Consider the following 21130-nt stretch of genomic DNA (forward strand, 5'->3'; position numbering starts at 1 on the left):
ATCCGGGAGGCGGAGCTTGCAGTAAGCCGAGATCGCGCCACTACACTCCAGCCTGGGGGACAGAGCAAGACTCCGTCTCAAAAAAAAAAAGAAAGCGAGAAAAGGCCCCACCCAGCAATTAAACTGCAGATAATCCCAACTCATGGAGGACCTCAGAGCAACCCCTCTCCCTTCTCTGGACCTCTGTTTCATGCACACAGCGCGGGAGCTGGATGAGATGCTGTCCAAGGCTGATTCAGTCCCACAAGCAGGAGTTCTCACGAGTTTCTCCAGGCCGGGTGTGTGCATGAGAATGTCTGCATGATCCCCCCAGGGGCTGCGGTCTAGCCCACACATTTATACATACACAGACAGATGACCACCATGTCCCCAGTCCTGGGCCCGGCTGCACAATGGATGTACCAGATAGACAGGTATGTGCCTGATGATGAGAGGGGTGGGGCATCACATACCCCAGGGCCCATCAGCTCCCAATCACGGGATCTGCGGCCCGCACTCCAGGGGATACACTCAGCTCTGCTGGCACAGGCGTCCCTTGAACTGCCTCCCTCCCACCTGGTCATGGGGCCTTGGCAGCGGCCCACCATGTGCTGAGCGCCTGAGCCTCACTGCACGGAATTCTCACAACAGCCCTGCCAAGGAAGTGCTGTTAACCCTGTTTTACAGATGGGGAAATTGAGGCTCCGCTAGGTGAAGTCACTTGCTCAGTAAATAATCAGCTAGGCACTCAAATCGGGCCTGATCCCAAACTGCCACCCCTACCATATGCCAGGACCTTCTTCCTGGACCACTCTCAAGGCTCAAACCAGGGCACCCGCCTGAACCAGCTCTGCCCAATAACTGGCCTTCCAGGGATTGCCAAGGGCGCCCAACACAGCAAGGCAGTCAGGTTCAGATGGCCAGTTTCAAATCCTGATTTCATCACCGAGTCGCTGTGTGGCTGTGGGTAGGATCTTTAACCTCTCTGTTCCTCAGTTTCCCCACCTGTCAAGTAGGGATGGTGACAGTATCTATTTTGCTGGGTTGTTGTGAGGATTTTGCTAAGTTCTATAAAGTTCTTAGAGCAGTGCCTGGCACATGGTGTGTTGATATAAGGAAGATATGATTCCCTTTGACTCTGTGAATGGCCTGACACTTGGGTTCCACAGAAGGCAAGAGACAGAGCTGCAATTCGAACGCTGGACTCAGGACTCCCTGTCCAGGGCTCTCTCCCTACAGCATCAAGGAATCTCCAGCTTGGCCAAGGGAACAAAAAAGTCCCAGGACTGGCCCAGGCTCAGCCCCAAGGCGGAAAGACAGCCTGTGAGGAAGACTAAAGGGATGAGAGCCACAGGCCAGGGACCAGGCCCCAGACCCTGCTCCATCACCTGCACCTCCCTCCTCTGTGCCTGGCACTCGCCTACCCGGCCCCACCCCCAGCTCCGGAAGGCCCGGGCACTCCTGTGGGCACTCAAGGACCCTGGGAAGCTCCTGGGCCCCGAAGCAGCTCCCTGTGGCCCCAAGGAGCCCAGTGCCCAGTGATCCTGGGATGCAGCAGGTGGAGAACAGCAGGGAACAGCGTGGTCTCCCGGCACCACCTTCCAAGTCCCTGGGTACTCTGTCCCCAGAGACAGCCAGGGGTCCTGGCCCTGGACCCCCACACCCTACCTTTCCCCAAGTCCCAGGGAGCCCGCAGGCAGGAATCCCAGCCAGAATGGGCTCCTGCCTAAAGTGCTCAGCCAACAGCGAGAGGAGCCCAGATGTCCACACTTAGCCTTGGAAGCAGATCCCCTCAAACCAGCCCACCCGTGCCCCAGGGCAGCGTGCCGGGTCAGAGGAGCTTGATTCTGCAGTCAGACACTTCAGATCTGAAGTGGGTGAAAGTAGAAAAAGTGCAAACAGCCCAGGCACTCACAACAGGGAAATGTCCTTTCAAGAAAAGCCCATTCCAAAGTGGATTAGGACCCAGGTCCCGCCGCACCCCTGAGAAGGGTGCTCAGGGTGCAATCAGGGGCCGCAGGAGGGTGCAGGGCCAGCTGCGAGGAGAATCCCTCCTGGGTAAGAACAGATGGTGTACGTGTGTTTGTAGGTACCAGGAAACACGGGTCAGTGACAGCCTCTGGGGAGGAGGCCTTGGGAACAGGCAGTGGCCCATTCCTTTCTGCTGTGCACGCCGAGAGCATGTGCCAGTTCCCCAGGTATAAGGGGGTTTGTATACTTATGCATTGTTTTACACATACATGCTCCAAAACCCAGCAAATGCACAAAGATCACGAGGGCACACACATACACACACACCTGCCCTTGTGTGCCCAGCTTCCATCCAGCCAGCTCTCTCCTGCGGCCTGAGAGACAGGCGGTTGCGGCAAACAGACGGGGCAGGGCCAGAGAGATGGGTGGGCAGACAGAGACAAAGAGACAGGGAGAGAGAGAGAAACAGAACGAATGAGCTCAGCTCAGGCCCTAGGGTGATCCTGCTCAGAGCAGCCACTTTAGGCTGGTCCAGGGGCTGCGGGAAGTGAAAGTGCCCAAGAGGAAAGCCGGCAAGTCTCCACCCTCAGCCTGGCCACTCACTGCGGTGTGGCCCCGAGCCAGCGCCTCACCTCTCTGGGCTGCAGCCTGCCCACGAGTGCGGGCAGTGGGTGGGAGACCTGCTGGCTCCGACCCTCCAGCACTCCGGGGTCCTGGTTCCCTGTTGAGCCCCCGCTTCCCCTCTCCCCAGATGGTGCTGAGGGCAGCGTCCAGGTCAGCTGCCATCTCAGCCCAGCCAGGAACTCACTCCCAAAGCCCCTCCCTCCCCTGCCATCAGCCCCAGCATCAAATTGGAGAGGGACGAGCCGGGCACTGACCGGAAACCGCAGGCGTGGATACTGCTGTCTTCCTGCCTCATCTCACCTAATCCCCATCACAGCCCTGATCCCATTCTACCACACGAAGCAACCGAGGAGCGGAGGATGATCGGGCCGGAGCCCCACGGCCAGCGGGGGATGAATATGAATGAGCTGGGATGGAACCCACGCGTCTACTCCAAAGCCCATCGGCTCCTTCCACGACATCCTGTTCGGCAGGCAGTAGGAGGGGCCACAGGGGCAGACACCCCCACATTTCCTGACCTAGCACCCAGAACCGGGACTCCACAGGCCCCAGCCTGTCTCCAGCAGCCTCAGAGGTGACTCTAGAAGGGCCCCTGAAGCCTGCCTCCCTGCTCCGACCACCAGGAAAGCCAGCAAGAAGCCCAGTGCTAGCATTCCTGACTGCACGCCAGGCGTAGCACCAAGTGCTTCATAGTGTCACCCTTGGGTGGTGGGCACTACTTTTATTCCTACTTGACAGGTGAGGACACTGAGGCACACACAGGCGGGGCAACTTGTCATGGGTAGAATTGGGAACTGACAGCTGGGCCCATGGGCCTGATCACTGCATCGCCCCATCCTGTAGCCTGGGAGTTTTTCCACTCTGACCTGCGACCACCAAGCCAAGGAGTGTCTAGCGGGGCAGCAAAGGCCTCACCCCAGAAGCGCTGCTTAGATCAAGGGCCCTTGAGCCACCACCATTGGGGCACCTCAGTGCCAACCCCTCTCTGTAGCCGGTCTCTTCCCAGGATGATGCTTGGGGGTCCCTGGAGAGCCCCCACCTCCATCCTTGAGTCCCAGCCCTGGGTGAGGAGGGGAAGCGGAGAAGGTCTGTGTGCCCCCACAGACCTCAGACAATGTCCTCTGGGACAGGGGCTGTCCTTTGCCTGAGGTCCAGAGGGAGTGTAGGACAAGCAAGACTCACACAGCAAGCGGAGGCAGGAAGGGCAACATAGCCCTTCATCTCTGCCTCCCAGCTTGGCACAGAGGGCACCCTACCTCCTATGCTGGGTGGGTTGAGCTGTGACCCAGTGTGGAGACAGGGATGGGGCTATGGGTTCTCAGTAGCTTCTAGCTTCTCACGCAGCCCCTGGCAACCCTGTGGGCCTACTGTGTGCAGATACTCCTATCTCCAATCCTATTTCACTCCATCCCCTCCAGGAGCCTGGCAGTATCCCCATTTCACAGATAAGAAAACTGAGACCAGGACATGTGACCACTCAGGCGTGGGATCTAACTCACAAGGTCTCACTTCCCACCACCAAACAGGCCTTCCTGCAGCCCCTGCCCCAATCCAACCACTCCCAGCCCTCAGGGACTGCCTCTTCCAAAAAAAAAGTCTTCCCAGAGCTCTTGGAACCTCCGCTCAGAGGACCATCTCTCCTCCGACATTCAGAAAGCAGACTGAGGTTGGGCGCCTCAGTCTGTACACTCAGGCCTGTAATCCCAGCATTTTGGGAGGCCGAGGCAGGTGTATCACTTGAGGTCAGGAGTTCGAGACCAGCCTGGTCAACATGGCGAAACCTGGTCTCTACTAAAAATAAAAATACAAAAATTTTCTGGGCATTGTGGCAGTCGCCTGTAATCTCAGCTTTCTCTCCAGCCTGGGCAAACAAGCAAAACTCCGTCTCAAAAAAAAAAAAAAAAAAGAAAGAAAGAAAAGGAAAAAAGAAAGAAAGCAAACTGAGGCCAGCACACCCACAGTGCCTCCACCCTCAGACTGGGGCTCCTGGGAATTGAGGCTCTATCTCCCTCAGACAGGGCACTCACTCCCCTTCCCAAAGACTAAGAGGTCCCAGGACTCCCTCCTCCAGCACCTCCATCCACACAGCCCCCTACCTGATTGCAGGACTCTGCCCCAAGGGGCCAAGCAGGACCCCAGGCCACGCCTCAGCCCCTCCTCTCCCTTCTTCCTGGCACTCCTCCAGGCCTGGCCAGTACCAGGCAGGCTACCCTCCCACCACCGGGCCCTGTCCATGAATCCCACCTCTGTTGGGCACCACAGACCCCCCTTTCTCCTCCCCAAACAAATGGGGTCTTGAGCAAGGCACCGGGACAACCACGCACAAGGCCAGATCTATTCCCTGGACTGGCGCGGCTGCCAGCGGGGTGGGTGGTCAGGCTTGCGGAGCTGTCTGTCCCTTCCACAGCCCCTCCAGGTCCAGCCTCTGGCATTGGGAGCCCGGCACTCTAAGCTCATCCTGGCAGGGCTGGGACCAGCAGCCTTCCTCCCCGGGTGACCCAGGAGTGGGCCTGGGCCAGGCACCCCTAACCACGCTCCCCACTTCCTCCCCTCTCCCTTCCCTTGACACAGTGTGGGCGGGGACCTCTGAGCATAGGTCCAAATCCCTGCTCTGCACCCTGGAAGAGAATCTCTCCAGGCCTCTGTTTGGTCGTTTGCAACCGGGTGTGACACTCCCTATGCTGCAGGGGCTGCTGTGGCCACAGACGGGGTGAGGTACAGGAAGAAAATCCCGGCACAGAAGAGGTGCTCAGTCCAAACTGGTTTTTCTCTCTCCTTCATTCCCTCTTCTGCCCTAGGGGGATAAGAGGTGGGGCTGGCAGAAATGGGGGTGAGAGGGCACAGGCTGGCAGAGTAGAAAATGACCTGTCCCAGGCACTTAAAATGTTGCCTATTCCAAAATCAAAGTCTCAAATCCCTCTACAGCTGGCAGTGAAGTCTCCTAAGACTAGGCTGGTTAAGGCTCCCAAGACCCCACAGCCAGCCTGGGCAACACGGTGAGATCCCGTCTCTACAAAAAAAAAAAAGCTTGGCATGGTGGTATGTGCCTGTAGTCCCAGCTACTCAGGAGGCTGAGATGAGTGGATCACTTGAGTCCAGGTGGTCAAGGCTGCAAGGCTGCAGTGAGCCATGACTGCACCACTGCACTCCAGTCTGAGTGACAGAGCAACAGCCTGTCTAAAAAAAAAAAAAAAAGATCCCACAGCCCATTAATGGCAACACTGGGGAGGAGGCCTCAGAGCTAAGCCTGCAAATCTAAGCTCAAAGCCCACTGCCTCCTAGAAGCCAGCCCAGATATTATCCCCATTTTACAGACAAGTAAACTGAGGTACACAGTAGTTAGGTAATATGCCTGAGGTCACACAGCTAGCGAGCATCTGGATTGATTTCTTTTGACAATTCAGGCTGCTACCAAAAGCTGTTCGTTATGGCACAAGCCCCCCCTAAGAATCTGTGATTTTGACTCGGCATCCAGAGTCAGGTCCAAGTTCTTCAGCCTGAAACGCAAGGCCTCCCAGCAAGGTGGTATACAGCAGCAGAAGACAGCACTGGACCTCGAGTCAAATGCCCGGCGTGCCACTCACAGCCTGCTGTGTACCCACGGCACCTTACCCGGCCTCCCTGGCCTCACTGTCCTCTTGTATAAAATGGGAATAACGAGACTGACCTCCCAGGGTGGCTGGTGGGGTTACCTATCCATGCAGTCACACAAATTTATTGAACCTCTACTATGTGCCAGGCCCCATTCAAGGTACTTGAGATAGAGCAGAGAACAAGACAAAAAAAAAGCTGTCTTCAGGGAGTTGATACTCTACAGTGGTGGGAGGGCAGAGAGTAAGCAAGCAAATAAAACAGCATCAAGTTGTGTTAAGGGCTTTAAGAAACCAGAGGGAGGAGGCCAAGGGCAAAGGATAGGGTGCTCGGGAGGACTTCCCTGAGGAGGTGACAGTTAACCAGAACAGGAGACAGACATGCACTGAGCCAGGAGAGCAGCAGTGAGCACAGAAGGAACAGCAAGGTCAAAGGCCAGTGAATCAAATGAGAGCTGGAGCCTATGGGAAAATGCCTGGCACATAGCAGATGCTCAATAAACAGCAGCTGTGAGCATTATTACTCTAAGCCCCCCAAACCCCTTGCTCCTTGCCTTCCTCTTCTGGAAACCAGGTTGCGATGCAGCTTGAAGTGCATCCTAGGTCTCTTCCACATTCCTTCATTCATTTAAAGTAACCCTGCTTCCATTAATAGTCCTCCCATTTTGCAGGTGAGAAAACTGAGGTTCCCAAGATCCCATAGCCCATAAATGACAGCATCGGGACATGAACCTAAGTCTAGTGGTCTCAAACCCCACACTCCTGGCAGCCTTGGGCGGTCTCACTTACAAAGGGCACTCACTACATTCCCCCTTCCCATCCCAAGACAGCTCAGCCTGTCAGAACGTCTCTAGGATGAACCAAGGTCTGAGCCTGCCCTTTGAGGCCACCCAGGACAGCCCTCTCTCTTCCTTCCCAGGTCACCCTGAAATGTTAGCAGCTGCCACCTGGAGCACCTCCCAGTGCCAAGCCCTGTGCCTTACTTTGTCCCTTGGCCTTGCTCTGGCAAGGTGAAGTAGGGATTCTTATCATCCCCATTGTACAGGTGAAGAAACTGAGGCCCAGAAAGGTGGAGAAACATGCCCAACGGCAGCTTCCAGGAAAGTGGCAGTGTTGGGATCTCAGCTCAGGCCCTCATCACCTGAAAGACAGTTACCCGTCACTTCCCAGGCCTCTCAAATGGCCCTCTTTGGCCATCACTCTCAGTCCTCCCTTGCCTGTCCTGTCCCCCTGGTGATGCCAAAATGGTAGACAGGACAGTCTTCCCCTGACTCGGTTATTCTCAGGGCACCACCAGCCACATGCCTGGCATGCGGTGCCCTAGGCCAGGGCTGGCTGAGCAGCTCAGAGCACCCAAGTCCCATGAAGGAGACCAGTGGCCAGGGGCTCAGGCAACGGCTGTGGGGACAGGGCTCGCCTGATGAAAGTGCACACACAGGCCCTGGGGCAGGCAGGAGAGGAGCACCAGAGAGGGAGCCTGCCACACCTGCTCCATCCTGGCTCAGCCACCAGGGTACTATGTGCCTGTCAGAAGGCTCTCTGCCTCTCCGGCCCCGTTCCTGTTACCACCAACTCAGGACCGTACTCCCACCACTAAGGGTCATGGGGAAAGGTACGATGCCACAGAACTCTAGTGAGATCTGGCTTCCCTACGCGTGTCAGGAAATCATTTTAAAACGATTTTTAAAAGTAATGATGGTGGGCCAGGCGCGGTGGCTCACGCCTGTAATCCCAGCACTTTGGGAGGCTGAGGCGGGTGGATCACAAGGTCAGGAGATCAAAACCATCCTGGCTAACACCGTGAAACTCCATCTCTACTAAAAATACAAAAAATTAGCCAGGCGTGGTGGCACGCGCCTATAGTCCCAGCTACTCAAGGAGGCTGAAGCAGGAGAATCGCTTGAACCCGGGAGACGGAGGTTGCAGTGAGCAGAGATAGTGCCACTGCACTCCAGCCTGGGTGACAGAGCGAGACTCCGTCTCAAAAAAAAATAATAATAATGATGATGGTGGTGGTGGTTCCCAGTCACTGAGAGTCTATTACATACCAGGAGCCATCACATCCATGAGCCCAAATAACAGCCACCCTGGGAGGCATGTGCCTCATCTCCATTTTACAGAGGGGGAAACTGAGGCCAGAGGTCCTCCACCGTAAAAACCAGAGCCAGGTTGCAAACCCAGAACTCGCTGCTCTCCTGTGCAGCTTCCTGTTTTTAGTAATTGAATGAAATGCTGCTTCAGGAGAACCCCTGGGGACTGGGGGGAGAGAGAGGACTCAACGGTGTCAGAGAGACAGGCTCCCCCAGGGAAGGAGTTAGGCCTGCTGAGTCCGGCACTCAGGGAGGGAGATGCTCCCCAGAACGTGCCTGCTGGGTGACCTTGGGCAAGTCACTTCCCGTCTGATTCCTCAAAGGCAGGTACCAATGCTGGTCCCCCAGAGAACGGCACTGGGTCAACAGGTCCTCAGCAAACATGACGGATGGGGACAAAGTCACTTGGGGGCAAGAAAGGAGCATGTGCCCAGATGAGAGACTTATGAGATCAGAGGCCCTGGGGAGCGAGAGGGCTCAAGGAGGCAGAGGTGGGAAGATCATGACCACAGAAGTGGGAGGGAAGGGCTGGGTGGAGGCACTGGGAGGAAGCAAGCGCTGGTGCAGCAGGGTCTCCGGTCTGTCCACAGGGGCAGGCAGGATAAGTGCAGACCCGCCCACTGTGCCTCACTCCCCAGCCCTCCACCACCAAGAACCCCCACTTCAGCCTGTGACAGCAACACCAAGTCCCCTGCAGCAGCCCTTCCCCCACCACACCTCCTCCGTCCTCCGGGGCGCACCCACCACCCTGCACAAGCCCCCTTCAGGGCACCCATCACTACCCCTTTCCTGGGGACCTCCAACACCTGGACAGCCACAGCCCCTCCACGTGGGGACCACCGCACCTTGGAGATAGCATCTCCCTATCCTTAGCAACCACCAACACTGTGCGCAGCCAGCCAGCCTCCTTTCTCTGTCTCCTCCTCTCTCCACGGAGACCACAATGCCACAGAGGCGGCTCCCTCACCACGGCAACCACCGTCACTCAGCGCCGCCTGGACAACAGCTCCCTCCACGTGGCCGCCACCAACACAGCCTCGGTGACAGCCCCAGCCTCTCCTCTCCTCTCCTCTCCAGGGCAGCCACCAGCCCCAGCCAGGACGGAGCAGCTCCTTCTGCCTGCCTGTCTGCCTGTTTGCGGCCTCCTAGTGCCAGACGGCTCTCCCTGTGCCTCCAAAATTCAATGACATAGGATCAGGCCCCATATCAATTCTGCTGGCGTTTTCCCCTGCTCCCGGCTCACTTCCAGCCTCTCTCTCTACAATGGACAGACCCCCACCTGAGCGAGACCCCCACCATGTTGTCCCAGGCCTTCCCCTGGAAGCTGGCTCTCCACCCCCAGCAGGTGCACAGATGCCCCCTGACCTGCTGGAGTGCAGACTAAGCCTGCCTCAGCCTCTCTGCCGGGTGATGGGGCAGGAGCTGGGGTCCTTGAGCCAACAGGGGCTTCCTGCCCACCCTCCCCAGTGGGCTTGTCTTAGCCCCCAACAGGCCTGCCGCTCTGCAGGCCGCCTCATAGGCCCTGTGGAAGGAAAGCTGGGTGGGAGGGGTGCCCACGGCTGGGGGCAGGGGCCAGGCCCACAAGAAGGAACACACAGAAGCCTGAGGCTGGGCCACATCACAGGTTTGCAAGGCCGGGTCATGTGAGCTATGCTCACAGACAGCGACACACACACAGGCAAAAGGACCCTGTCCTTACCAGATGTCTGCAGCAGAGGAGGCCCCTCCGGCACTGTCCCCAACCTGGGTCTCAGAAAGGTTCCCCAGGCAGCAGCGGCAGCAGTAGCAATGAGATCTCAGGTCCTGGCCCAGCCCGGGTGGCAGCAGCTCCTCACCCAAGTCCTCTCCTTCTGCAGGGAGGCGAGGGGGAGAGAGGGGAGGGAGGGAGAGAAGGGGAGGAGAGGGAGGGGGGACAGCAGGAGGGAGGGAGGAGGGAAAAATGCTGAAGTCTTGAAGGGTACACTCACTTCTTTCTTGGGTTTCCCATGGCAACCGAATATACCACAAATGAATATCAGGGTGAGACAGAGAGGAGGTAAAGGGAGAGGAGGAATGGAGGGAGATGGAAGAGAGATGGAGAAAGACAGAGATAGAGAGATGGGGGAGACAGGGCAGGGAGAGATGGAGAGATGCAGAGAGAGATGGAGGCAGAGATGTGAAGGCACTGAGATGGAGAGATGGGGCAGGGAGAGGAGAAGAGATGGAGGTAGAGACAGAAGGATGATGAGGCAGGAGAGATGGAGGGCTGAGGCTTCCAATCGTAACCCATGGGGCTCAGGGGCCAGGGAAGAGGCCAGGGGCCACAGGGCTTCTTTCAAGCCCCTGGGCAGGAGGAGCAGGCACAGATGAGTGAGCTTTCTGGGAACCAAGGGGCCCCCACTCCCACCCCTTCACCTTGTCCCACACTCCCTACTGGGCTCCACAGCCTGGAGGTGTCTCCCCAGTCACACCCCAGTCACAGCCATGGTCACACATGTCACACCCACGTGTGTGTGCACACACACTCTCACACTCCCCTGACCCCCAGTGCCCCCACACAGCCCTCACCCCCTCCATGGCCAACTACCCTCCTCTCCTGTTGGTCACTCGGATCACCAACGCCGCCCAACCCCATCGTCAGCCGGGCCCCAGGGAACAAAGACACCCTCGCCCTCGGCACACCCTCTCCTCTTCAGAACTCTGCCAGGACTGGCACACGCCTTCCCCTATGTGCTCAGCCTGTTCCCAGCCAGGTGTAATGCCTCTACCCCACCTTCCCGCCACATGGGCTCACACACAGCCTAAGAGCACAGTACCTGGCTGACCTCCACCTGCACAGACAGGCGCTCCCAGACAGACGGGCCTCGGCGGAACCTCGTCTCCATCTGCGCAAACACGTGCGCACACACACTCAGCTCCTCCCGAGGAGGCCCCTCTCCCTGTCCCGCCCCACACCCCACCAGCCCAGATGGTACTCTTGGCCCTCCCCCGCAGGCAGGGGCTCACACCTCGGCCCCCTCGGCATTGCCATTCACAAACATATGTAGACCCACCAAGTGCTGGCAGCCAGCGGCGCCCAACGGAAAATAAACACACACTCGGGCCTCCCTTCCCCTCTCCCCGCCACACTGCCTCAACTCCCTCACCCCCTCCCAAAGGCAGAGAACTAGCAGGGCCGGCTTCCTCCAGGAAAGGCTCCCAGGCCTAGCTGGGAGCACACAATTGACCCTCAGCCCCTCAGCCAGCAGGGATGGGAAAGCACCCCAGAGGCACACACTATACCCTAACACACACACACACACATAGACCTGTCCTCCCAGAGCACACCCAGACAGAATCCACACAGGAGAACTTCCCACCGCCGCAGAGAAACGCACATCACAGACCCAGAGACTCGTGGGCCTAGAGACCAAGGTGCACTGCACACAGCTGAACCAGAACACAGGGGCGCCCCACACAGACACCCTCCCCAACACGCAGGCCCACGCTGGTGCCAAAATGCATGCGGCCACTGCACAGACGCACAAACCAGGGGCACCGTGGACTGCCCCGCCCCACGCTCACCAAACACACCCAGAAAAACGTGCCCAGGGACACGGGGCCCCCAACATAGACACACGCCAAAACATACATGCCCCAAGCATGCCCACACACAGGGAACCACTCCCGGACACACGTGCCAATGCACATGAGCCAACACACCCCCAGCACAGCCACGCCTGCACGCCACAGCGCTCCCAGGGCAGTTCACGCGGCGCGTCCCCATGCCGTCCACACCCACCCGGCACACACACCCCCTCGCCAGCAACTCGCCGGGTCCTGGCTCCGGTCGCCCCCTGTGCCCCTGCCCAGCGCGGCCCGCCCCGCCGCCAGCCCCCGCCCCTGCCGGTCGCTTTCCGATCCCGGGCACCGCGCAGAGCCCAGAGGCTGCGAAATTGGCTGCGAGCGTCAGGGGCTGCGGCTGCAAATTCTAAACACAGGCAAGTAAGGAGGAAAGCCGGGCCAGCCGGGCGCAAGTTCCGGAGGCTGGCGGGGTGGGCCGCGGGGGACGGGGGCCTCGAAGAGCCGCGGACGGCGGAGGACGGTGCGGAGGTGGGGAGCGCGGCGAGGTCGGGGGGGAGCAGGGTGGCGGTGCGGCCCCGGCGGGGCTCCGAGCGCGCGCTCCCGTCCCCACCACGCCAGGTCCGCGGCAGTTCCCGCCCGCCCCCTCCTCCGGCCCAGCAGCCATCGCGCACCCGCCCCGTGCGCCCCCAGGACGGACAATCCCAGCCGGCCTCCAGACCCAGGTCTGCCTCCGCCAAGTGGATGGACCATATCGAGCCACCGCTACGCGGCTGTGCGTCGGTCGCCTCCTCCAGGACGTCTTCTCTGCTCTCCGCCCTCTTCGCCGCTTCTCTGCCCTCACCTCCACCTCCGCCTCTGGCCTCTGCTCACATGCACAGCCGCAAACTCAGCTCCACCAGCGCCCTCGCTCCACAGGAAGGGAGAGGGAGGGCATTCGCCCTGTGCAAGGTGCTGGGGCAGGCCCGCTCCAATTCCACTTCATCCCGACCACACTTTAGGCTGCTAACGTGCCTAGCTTTAGCAGCTGTGCAGCCTCGAACCCGTGACCGCACACGCTGCCTCCGATTCCTCATCTGTGCAACAGGAATGATGCAGAGGGGGCGTTCTGAGGATTTAATGAGGGACTCCTTAAACAGGCTTACAGCAGCAGTCAACGAAACGGAAGATGATTAGCCAGTATTATTAGTCAGTTTTGGCCCCTGACTTGCTGCTGTGGCGCGGAAGGTTAGGCACTTCTCTGAGCTCAAGCTCCTCCTCTGGAAAATGAGGATGGCTTTGCTGGCTCCGGAGGGTTCTGGGAGGAGTCTCAGAGACCCCGGGGAACATGCAGCTGCCATCCAACCAGCAAATGTGAGTGAATTAATCTTCGGGAAAGCATTAAAATTGCAAGTTCCTGCAATTTTCCCCTCGTCCACTCTCCCAATCAAAATCTCAGTGGACAGGGCCCAAGAATCTGCATTTTAACGAACACCCAGAGATTCTAATGCTCCCTGACAAAAAGGATATTACTCAATTTCTTGGCGCAGCATGGATGGTCCCGTGTGGTTGTTCCTCAAACTACATGTCCAGACTCATCTTCTCAAAATCCACTCTGGGCTTCCCCACCTCCGGGCCCCTGCTCACACGGTCACTCCATATGGCATGCCCCCACCCAGGGGTAGGCAGGACCTCTTTCACAATCCTCCAGCCAAAGTTAAACAAGATAACAGAGAGCGCCTTGCCCGATGCCTGGCACATAGCAGGTGCATAATCGAGAGAATTCTGCAAAGCCCAGAGCAGAAGTTGGCACAAACTCTCCAGCCCTGCCTGGGAGGCTCGCTCCACACCTGGCCTCCAGCCTGCAGCAGCAACCCCCTCTCGGTCAGGTCACAAAGGGACAAGAATCACCTGTCAAGCAAGCCCTACTGTGTGCAGACCCCATGCTGGGCACTTGTCAGAGGTTCCCGTGTCTCACCTCTCCTCCAGGGCCCTGAGCTCTGCCAGGCAGGGGCTCCTCTCTGGGGGTTCCTGCCTGAGCCCCGGGGCCCAGCATTTCTCCCTGGGTGAAACATGCTAATAAGGGTGTGTGTGCACGCGCCATCTGAATGCAAAATGCAGCGATCCGTCCTCGGTAGCATGTAGATGAAAGGAATTTGTTTAATAAGTATTTTTTGAGGGCCTACCAGTCTCCGCCTGCACAGAGCTGACATGAAGTGGGAGAAATAAGACAGGCAATAGGCAGATGTAGGAAATCCACTGGGGAATGAGAAGGGCCAGGAAGGGAGTGAGGCAGGTCGGCTGACCCCACAGCCTCTGTCTCTCCAAGATTCAGGGGCAATTGTAGGGGGAGAAGGATAATAGATGGGCCAAGGAGGGAAACTGAGTCAGGCCTGAGTCTTGGGACTAGGCCCACGGCAGGCTGGTCAGGCAGCCTTGGGATTCATTCCCTACTTCCCCCTGAGAGAGGTGGTGACCAGTGTACACAAACAGTCACAAGAGCTGGCAGCACCCAGGCTCTTTTCATGCATCCTTAGGCGCCCCCAACCCCAGCAGTACCCATGCACTTCAGGCGGTGAAAAGCAGAGGGTGAAAAGGATGGGAAAGAAACAGACACATGCATGCACAGTGCAGACCCCTTCCAGGAAGCCAGGAATGAACGGAGGGGGCAGATGGGAAGGGGGAGGAAAATAATGGCATCTCGCATGCCAGACAGGATGTTATACACGTGGTCTTCTCTTACCTAACCTTTAGCATGACCTTTAAGACAACCCAGAAGGGTTAAGAATTCGTTTTTTTTGTTTTTTGGTTGTTTTATTGTTGCTGTTGTTGTTCTGGCCAGGCACAGTGGCTCACGCCTGCAATCCCAGCACTTTGGGAGGCTAAGGAGGGAGGATCACGAGGTCAGGAGTTCGAGACCAGCCTAACCAACATAGTGAAACCTCGTCTCTACTAAAAATACAAAAATTAGCCGGGTGTGGTGGTGTGTGCCTGTAATCCCAGCTACTGGGGAAGTTTTTTTTGAGACGGAGCCTCACTCTGTCACCCAGGCTGGAGTGCAGTAGCACAATCTCGGCTCACTGCAACCTGGGCCTCCTGGGTTCAAGCGATTCTCCTGCCTCAACCTCCTGAGTAGCTGGGATTACAGGCATGCACCACGATGCCCGAATAATTTTTTGTATTTTTAGTAGAGACAGGGTTTCACCATGTTGGCCAGGCTGGTCTCGAACTCCTGACCTCAGGTGATCCTTCTGCCTCGGCCTCCCAAAGTGCTAGGATTACAGGTGTGAGCCACCACGCCCAACCAAGAATTCGGTACTTTTGTCCCCACTTCATATTGAGGAAACTGGGCCTCGGGGGGGGGGGGGGAAGTGACTTGCCCAGGACCCACACCGAGGAGGAAAAGAGGTTGGATTTGGAGCCCTGCCCCTGCCCTTTCCACAAGCAAGATGGCCAGGTGGGGAGTCCAGGGGGCCACAGCTGAGGCCACGATAGACTCGGGACCTGAAGAAGATACTGATCCTGGGGCAACCTCCCCACTGTCACCCGGGGGAGCCCTCCAAGCGCTGCTGTTCGAGGCACTGTGGGAGGGCCAGGGAGCAAAGGGCTGCCTTTGGGGGTGTCCCATCTCTGTGGGGAATGGGATGGGGGGTTGAGATGCAGGCACCACCCACGAGGCCCCTCCTTTCCTGTCTCTCCTTGCAGCCAAAGCAAAGGGCGTCCGCCACCCCCAGCTTCCCTAGGGCAGGGTCACTGCACCCATTTACAGATAAGCAAAGCAAGGCCCAGAAAGGGCCTTCAGTGAGAGGGGTAGGCCAAGATGTAGAGGCCTCCAGGCCCATCTGGCAAAGGAGTTCAGCAGCCAATGGTGCTGATGTGAGAGTTTCCCTTCGAGGGTTCCAGTCCTGGTTCCATCGCTGTGTGGCCCTGGACTGGTCTGTAACCTCTCTGTTTCTTGTCTTCAAAATGAGGAATAATAATAGTGCCTGCTGCAGCTGGCTTTTGTGGGACTAAACGAATGCCGCCCATAAAGAGCTTCGAACCGGGCCTGGCTCTCAGTAGGGGCTCAATAATATTAGCTGATATCATTATTATTATTATCACTATAGTTATTACTATTTCAATCAGCAGCATCGTGCAGCCAGCACCCTTCCTCTGGCACCCCAGGCATAAGCAAGCCTGCCCAGGTGGCTCTTGAGTCCTCAGGGCTTCTCTGGGGCTTTCCTGGGGACTGTCGGCAGAGCTAGGGGGAAGGAGAGGGGGCTCAATTATTCCAACCCCCAGACACCATCTCCAGTAATAATGTCAATGCCTCTGCCCCAGGTGGTAATTGAGCCAAGAGAAGGTTAATTTAATCAGGGATTGGGCTGGGACGGCAGGAGGCAGAGGACTGGGTAAACCTTCTAGACGATTAACACAGCTCCTGAAGAGGTCTAACTTGCTAAGAAGCGTCAGGTTTCGAGGCAATCCTACTTCTCGGCCATCCACTCCACACAGCACATGTCACAACATGGGGCAGGTGGGGGCACCGAGAGAGGAGCTTGGCCCCCAGGCACTGTGGCCGGAGCAGGTGAGGGTAGCAGCAATGTGTGCCTCCCAGCCCTGCACACGGTTGTCACCCTTTCACACTCACACATCACACCCGCAAGGGAAGCTGCCACCACCCTCTTACAGAGACAGGAGAGGCTGACCTCTGTCACACACAGCCAGGATGCAGATGCGGCAGGGGTGTCACTGGAACCCAATTCTGCTGCCAAAAACAAGCATCCTACAAGACCTCAGGGGATATTGAGGAACAGGCATGGAGCCCCCAGTGACCGCCCTAGACACGCCCCACTGGAGAAGGCTTGCTGAGTGTGCCCGTTCCTATCACGCTGACTGTTTCTGGAGCTTGTGGGTGGAAGAGCAAGAGAGCACTGACCTGGGAGTCAAGAGCAGCCTCTCCTCCAGCCAGAGACTCTTGGCCTTGGGCTCATCACCTGGCACCCCACCACCAATTCCTCATAGCTCCATATCTCTCCAGGAAAGGAAGGTACCCCTCGAGAAGGGGCTGGGTAATCAAATGTGTCTCCCTGTAGCCACTGAGGGCGGCGGGGGGGGGGATGGAATTCACATTAAATCAACAGACAGCTTATTCCAGAACTCAGTTTACTCATCTGTCAAATATCCACATAATAGTGGCTAACTCACCCACCTCAAAGAACTGCCGTGGAAATCCAAGGAAAGAAAAGAAAGTCCTTTGCAAAGTTAGACTTAAACCAAAACAGGAAAGCAGCTACTCTGGGCTAGGGGGATAGGAGGTGAGAGGACAGAGCTCACGTGGACTGAGCCCCCACCATATGCCAGGCATCAGCACCCGCCCCCCACAAGGCCCATGGTCTCCTTAACCCCCTTCACCTCTCTAACCCCTCACCCCATGTTACAGAGGAGAGACTGAGGCTCAGAGAGGCGACGCGAATGCTTAAATCACAAAACACAGAAAGCAGCAAAATGGGATTCGAACCAATGGCCTCACGCTCCCTGGCTATGGCCATTTTCTATTGTCACATGCACTGACACACTCACTCATTAAAGCACATCCACCCAGGGGTGGTGGGCCTGGCTGGGATGAAGAGGAAAACAGGGACTGGGGAGGTCAGATAGGGGGCTGCAGCACATTGGAGGCCTCCAGGCCCACCTGGCAAAGGAGTTCAGCAGCCAATGGTGCTGATGTGAGAACCTCCTTCGGGGGTTCCAGTCCTGGAAGGTGCACTCTTCAGGGGGCAGGACTTAAGGAAAGGGGTCCCATGCCCACTCAGGATGCTGGGAAAGGCGGCCTCTTGGGAGGGACCACGCCACGCGTCCTAAGGCTCCATCCCTCTCCCCTTCCCACCCCTCATATACAAGAGACATAACCACACTCGGCCACACACACTCCCGTGACATCACATTTACACACTCTGGCTGGGGGGAGCAACCTCCGACAAAACTGTCCCAGTGACGTCACCTGCGGCCTGGAGCTTATGTCACACCTGAGGTTCTCACTGACCTCACATACATACTTTTTCCTGATGTCCCCACAATTAACACTCTTTCTTCCTGCCTAGGCGTTGATGGCCCAGAGGTACCCACCTCCCCACCCACACAGTTGCAGGGCCCCCGGCTCATCAGGACAGCACCTGCCTGTGCACCCCTCTCAGGGGACACACATGCCCACATGCTTTGCTGATGGCCCAGACGTGACACGTCCCACAGGTGTCCACGGGCCACGAGAACAGGGGTGTCAGCCATGCACATACACATACACACACACACACACACACACACACACTCCCAGTCCCATCTCATGATGCAACTTGCATATTAAAACGCCTCTCGGTAACCGCGCCGGGCAGTCCGCGCCCCACAGCTTCCACCACATTCCTCCAGGTGCTGCCAGCACCCCACTCCCTCCAGCTTTCTGACTCCGACAGCCTGGCCTGCTGATAGCGACAGCCGCAGCCCAGACACACACACACACTCCAGCCCAACACCTGCGTCTCAGCAAGGGACCAAGGCAGTGCCCTCCAGCCGCAGCTGCTGGGTGGGAGGAGTCCAGGGGGAAGGGGCACAGCACAGAGCCCTGAGCTGCAGAAAGTGCCGAGTACCACGTTCCTCCCCAGCTGAGTGCACGGTCAGCACCACTGTCCCCTTCTCGTCTCCCTCCTTGGGCACGCCTGACACACCATGGCCTGTGGCCTCTGTTTTGGACACAAGCTCCCCGAGTGTGCATGCACACGCGCGCGCGCGCACACACACACACACACATCAGCTCCCTTCCCTCCAAACATTCCGAGGAAATCCTGCCAGGCCACTGACAGTGTGCGTGTGTGCGCTTGTGTGTATACAGACAGAGAGCAGGGTCCACCCCATGTCCACACACACACGCACACACCACACACACACAGCACGCACAATCCTCTCCACATGCACACGGCGCCCCACCAGCCAACACACCCACCCCCTCCCCGTCCCCTGACAGCTGCTGGAGCCCACACACGCACGCACACACACACACTGGCACGCGCTCGCACACACACACAAACACACACACACACACACACCCGGCAGTGGCCCCGGCCCTGCCAGAGCTGCAGTGTCTGCGATTTATGCCGCCTCCCTGGGCTGCCTCCCTCCTTGTCCCTGGCCAGCGCCTCTGAAAGGGTCCCCACCCCCCAATTCTGGTCTTACCAACCCCACCGCCGTCAAGCCCCACCCTGGCCCCCCTTCCCCTAGAAGGCATCCACCCCGTCAACCCCTCTTACCAGCTAGAGGATGAATGCCTTGACCCGGCAGCACCCCGTGAAAGAGAGGGGTTAGGGCCCCCGATTCGAAAAGATGAGGGCAGAGAGGTGCAGTGTGGCACCGGCTGGCACACCGTCCACCATCGAGCCTCTGCACCACCCCCAGAAACGCTCACCTCACCGACCGTCCTCGGTGTCCTCCCACCGCCTCCGCCCACCGCCACCACCACCACCTCCCTCGCGCAGGGTGGTCCCCCGGGGGTCTCACGGGGATCCCCAGACCCAGGAGACACTGGGGGTGGCTCTCCCCGTCTCATCCCCCCTTCCGTGTCCCTCTCCAAGCCCCACCCCCACTGACGGAGGGGGTGCCCTCCGGCTCCAGCCCCGACTCCCACCGTCTCCCCGGTCGGTCGGTCGCGGCGCTCGGATCCAGAGGAATTCACTTACCCCAGCCCCAGCCGGGATCCGGGCCAAGCACCGCCTCCGGGAAGCGGCGGCCGCGGGGCCTGCGCGTGTGAGTGTGAGTGTGAATGTGAGTGTGAGCGCGGGTGTGGGTGCGGGGTGCGTGGCCGTGGGGTGGCCCGCGTGTGTCTGTGTGTGTGTCTGGGAGCGCGCGTGTGCGCGCAGACGCCGCCGCCCCCTCCTCCCCGCCGCCGCGCCTCTGCCCCTGCCTCGGCGGGGAGGGCGCCCGGGAGGGGCCAAGCGGCGCGCGTCAGGGACCGCGGCAGGCTGTGTCCGTCTGTCCGTCCCCGTCTGTCCGTCCGCCAGCCCGCCCGCTCCCGGTGCCCTCCGCAGGCCTTTCCGCAGCAAGCCCGCTCCCGCCCCCGAGCCGGCCGCACGCTCCACGGACACACGCGCGCTCGCAGACACACGCCCGCGGGGCTGGGGCCGCGCCTGGCGCCGCCGCTGCAGCTGCAGCGCCCGGGGAGGCGAAGGCGGCCCCACGGACCCGAGCCCCGGCCTGGCGGACCCCTGTCCCGGCCGCGGCCCCCTGCGCTGCTCACCCCGCGGGATCCGGGTCCGGGTCCGGGTCCGGCCTCCGCCAGCGCATTCAACAGCTGGGGGCAAACTTGCGGCGGGGCCGCCCGAAGTGCGCCTGGACTCGCCCTCCCCCTGGACTCCGCCTCCGCTGATGGGCCCCCTCTCCGCCTTGTACCTCCATGCCCTGCCGCCTGCGCCCTGCTGGTTGGTCCCGCGTTCAACCGCTGGCGACTGGGGAAGTGCGGCTGCTGCGTTCCCATTTTACAGGCCAGACAACTGAGGTTCGGAGAGGAGTGATTCCCCCAAGGTTACACAGGGAGCCTACAGACAGTATTAGACTTTACGCTCCCCTACCTTGTGCCAGGGCACTCACTGCCTTTCCCCACCCCTCCAGGAGTAGGTCCAAGGGATACTGGGCTCATCTGTAGCTAGAGAACCTTCATTAGCCTTCCAGAGGCCCAGTTCCCCGCCCCTTACGCCAAAGCCCCTGCCACCTGCTGCCACCTGCAAAGGGGTGGATGCTGGGAGGAGGAGGAGGAGGTGGAAGATGCAAGAAGCCTGGCACCCGGGGCCTATAACTTGGTGCTTGGGCATGCAAGCACCTCCTCCCGAGGCCCTGCGAGCTGCATGTCGGAGGCCTGCTGCCAGCAGGCCCTGTACTTCTCCATCACTTTTATAGGACCGCATGCACCAGCGCCTGTTCTCAGGTGTTGCACAGCAGATGAAGTCCAGGCTGCGGGAACTCCCCGTCGGGACATCTCATGCAGGTCTGGAATAAGGAGACTCCCCAGAAGAAGCCACTGCCTGAGCTGAATCTTGATGGATGAGTAGGAGTTGGCCAGCTAAAGAAGGAGGAGAAGGGTGTCCTGGACTCTGGGAACAGCATGTGCAAAGAGGCACAGAGGCATGAAACAGCTTTGTATGTGTGTACAGGGAACTCCACGGAGTTGGGTATTAGTAGAGCAGAAAGAACGTCTGTCCAGAAATTCCTCCCTCCTTTCAACTAAGAACAGGGAACGGCCCAGGATGGGGCTGGGAGGGCAGACAAGCACTGGGTCACAGGCCACTTGTTGTCCTGGGGTATGCAGAAGGACTATTGGGCGTTCCCCACCTG

The 21130-nt window shown here is 58.8% G+C and overlaps 1 protein-coding gene across 2 annotated transcripts in view, besides 4 other annotated features; it reads right to left on the reverse strand.

Moving 5' to 3' along the window:
- The window catches only part of ELFN2 (extracellular leucine rich repeat and fibronectin type III domain containing 2), an 86836-nt gene extending 67172 nt beyond the window's left edge, over positions 1–19664 (reverse strand). Inside the window, exons 1-2 of one of the 2 annotated variants that reach the window (NM_052906.5) lie at positions 19483–19664; positions 9954–10104 (exon numbers count right to left, since the gene is read on the reverse strand). The gene's annotated coding sequence lies outside the window, so the exon portion shown is untranslated. The remainder of the gene's footprint in view (positions 1–9953; positions 10105–19482) is intronic. The other variant, NR_110512.2, reaches the window with a different exon arrangement.
- Positions 2735–3236: an enhancer, noted in NCBI's record as "H3K4me1 hESC enhancer chr22:37806589-37807090 (GRCh37/hg19 assembly coordinates)". NCBI's record gives its function as "activates a minimal SCP1, AML or CMV promoter by ChIP-STARR-seq in primed H9 embryonic stem cells {active_cell/tissue: H9 hESC(primed)}" and the evidence as "EXISTENCE:reporter gene assay evidence [ECO:0000049][PMID:30033119]".
- Positions 8432–8976: an enhancer, noted in NCBI's record as "H3K4me1 hESC enhancer chr22:37812286-37812830 (GRCh37/hg19 assembly coordinates)". NCBI's record gives its function as "activates a minimal SCP1, AML or CMV promoter by ChIP-STARR-seq in naive H9 embryonic stem cells {active_cell/tissue: H9 hESC(naive)}" and the evidence as "EXISTENCE:reporter gene assay evidence [ECO:0000049][PMID:30033119]".
- Positions 11951–12620: an enhancer, noted in NCBI's record as "H3K27ac-H3K4me1 hESC enhancer chr22:37815805-37816474 (GRCh37/hg19 assembly coordinates)". NCBI's record gives its function as "activates a minimal SCP1, AML or CMV promoter by ChIP-STARR-seq in naive and primed H9 embryonic stem cells {active_cell/tissue: H9 hESC(naive and primed)}" and the evidence as "EXISTENCE:reporter gene assay evidence [ECO:0000049][PMID:30033119]".
- Positions 12621–13290: an enhancer, noted in NCBI's record as "H3K4me1 hESC enhancer chr22:37816475-37817143 (GRCh37/hg19 assembly coordinates)". NCBI's record gives its function as "activates a minimal SCP1, AML or CMV promoter by ChIP-STARR-seq in primed H9 embryonic stem cells {active_cell/tissue: H9 hESC(primed)}" and the evidence as "EXISTENCE:reporter gene assay evidence [ECO:0000049][PMID:30033119]".
- Positions 19665–21130: the final 1466 nt, after the last annotated feature.

This window comes from Homo sapiens, chromosome 22 (genome assembly GCF_000001405.40).
Source record: "Homo sapiens chromosome 22, GRCh38.p14 Primary Assembly".
NCBI classification, from domain to species: Eukaryota; Metazoa; Chordata; class Mammalia; order Primates; family Hominidae; genus Homo; species Homo sapiens.